Source organism: Homo sapiens, chromosome X (assembly GCF_000001405.40).
Source record: "Homo sapiens chromosome X, GRCh38.p14 Primary Assembly".
NCBI lineage: Eukaryota > Metazoa > Chordata > Mammalia > Primates > Hominidae > Homo > Homo sapiens.
In genome coordinates, this window is record NC_000023.11 from 20,485,670 (window position 1) to 20,487,880 (window position 2,211).

Here is a 2,211-nt window from a genome sequence, read left to right on the forward strand (position 1 = left end):
CAGGGCCAATGCCACTGCTTGTTATTAGGATGTCACCTTCTCCCACCCCCATCCCTGTGTGCCAAACCTCATTGTATCATGCCAAAATTGGGCTTATAACTTAAATACGTAATCCCATTTGGCAAAGTGTTAACTATGTAACTGGAATTTTAATGTCTGTGTAATTGTTTTGTCTCTCATGAACTCATCTTCTAAATTCATTTCTCCTTACAAAATGGAAATATTTGATGTTTCTAAACTCTTCAAAAGATGATGCTGAAGATTAAAAGTTGACATTTCGTACAATCCTTTCGTTGCAAGACATTTTCTTCTTCCTTTCTTTATTTACCTTTCATAGCCCTCTTGCACACATTTTCTTCTTGATCGTTGATCATTGAAAAATAAAAGCATCAATGAACCAATCTATCTGAGCAGAGTAATGTCCCCTATGGTGTGCACCGAGGCTGGAATGCAGGATTGTGGCACCTGGCACATTGTAGGCACAAAAACTGTAAAGTATTCCAGCCTCCTTCATACCCAAGTGAGCACAGTGATTCTTCATGAAATAGGTTCAGGGTCCTGGTTTCATAGATCCATGTGAGGATCTATGCATACAAGGATAAAAAGATAGCAATATCTTTTTTTGCTTGTTTTTGAGACAGTATCTCGCTGTGTTGCCCAGGCTGGAGTACAGTGGCATAATCTCAGCTCACTGCAACCTCTGCTTCCTAGGCTTAACTCAAGTGATTGTCCCCCTTCAGCCTCCCCAGTAGCTGTTACTACAGGCACATGCCATCATGCCCGGCTAATTTTTATACTTTTTGCAGAGACAGGGTTTCGCCACGTTGCTCAGGTTGGTCTCAAACTCTTGGGCCCAAGCGGGCCTCCAGCCTTGGCCTCTGAAATGCAGGGATTACAGGCATGAGCTACTGTGCCTGGCCTAGCAATATCTTTTGCTGGTTGGCCTGGCATGTACCTGTGTGTATGCTAGGGAATGGGTCTGCCTCAGTATGGGCAGAGAAGTTTTATTCTCTTCTTCCAGGAGCAAGCCACAGTTTATCACCCTGTCTTTAACAAATGGAGTTAAAAAATGGAAGCAATCCCAGTTTTATAAGTGACAGAGAGGATTTTTTTTCCCACCAAGATTAAAAGTGTGCAGAGGGCAACAAGCAGCTGAGGAAACTGCTACAGCTTAGGATCATAATCTTAGAGCCAAAAGATGGTGGTTCAAGGTAAGGGAAAACTGGAGGCAGAAAACCAAGGTGGGGGTGAGGGTGGGGAGTGCACTACAGTTGGGAAACTGTAGGAAGTGGAGGTATTTACAGGACGGGGTTTGTGGGGATCTGTTTCCTTAGACAACTTGCAGATTTAATGTTTATGATATTACTGTCTGTTAATTAAATCTCTCTCTCTAACTTTGAGCTGAAGAGGCATTTTCTAGGAGCTGGGTACCTGCCTGAAAAAAAGTGAAGCATAAGCTAGACTCCCTCTTCCACAAAAATAACCCAGACCTTTGGTGCCAGAGGATTGTTGAAGCCAAGGTTACCCTGGTAAACAGTCTCAGCCCTTGAGTTCTGAATTTTAATTCTTTTCTTAAACCAGATGCACTATTTCTAAAAGTCATTCCCAGCTTTACTATTTGACCTAAATCAATCTTTTGGTTTTTGGGGATCTCGGCCATTCTCTTCATCCATATGACAGACTCATGGCTCATTTTGAAGAGATTCAGACTGGATGAATAATTGCCTTGAAAAAAACCAGAAGTGGTGACTCATCATTCTAAAAATCCATACTGCTTGGCATTTACAGCACTCCTACTCTGTATCATAGGAGATGAAAAAAGAATTTGCTGTTCATGCCCTCTGAAGAATGAGTCTTCTTCCTATCTCTGGGAAAGTAGATGCATTATCAATGGAGCAGGTCATTTCAGAGAAAAGCTCTAGTCCTCTCAAGGACATTGGGAGCAGGAAGTGTTAATACATGGTACTACAGGCTTGAGGCCTTGAGCATCTCAAGACCTGCATTTGTGCCTTTGTGTATACGATGTTACGGACCCAGCAATGTCTCTGGAGGCAGTGCCATGATTCAGATCCACATCTTTTGCCTTCTGCTCCTTAACACTGGCCTGACTTCAGAATCTTCTCAGAAACTAGAGGGATTAGCAGAATTTTAAAAATCAAGAGAATAAAAATAGAGGTTAGAACCTGGAGTTCGCTGGGGAAACATTGCCCT

At 42.5% G+C, this 2,211-nt stretch overlaps 1 annotated feature.

The window, feature by feature from the left end:
- Positions 778–1,977: an enhancer, noted in NCBI's record as "CDK7 strongly-dependent group 2 enhancer chrX:20504565-20505764 (GRCh37/hg19 assembly coordinates)". NCBI's record gives its function as "activates an origin of replication core promoter dependent on BRD2, BRD4, P300/CBP, MED14 and CDK7 cofactors, with strong dependence on CDK7, by STARR-seq in HCT116 cells {active_cell/tissue: HCT116}" and the evidence as "EXISTENCE:reporter gene assay evidence [ECO:0000049][PMID:35650434]".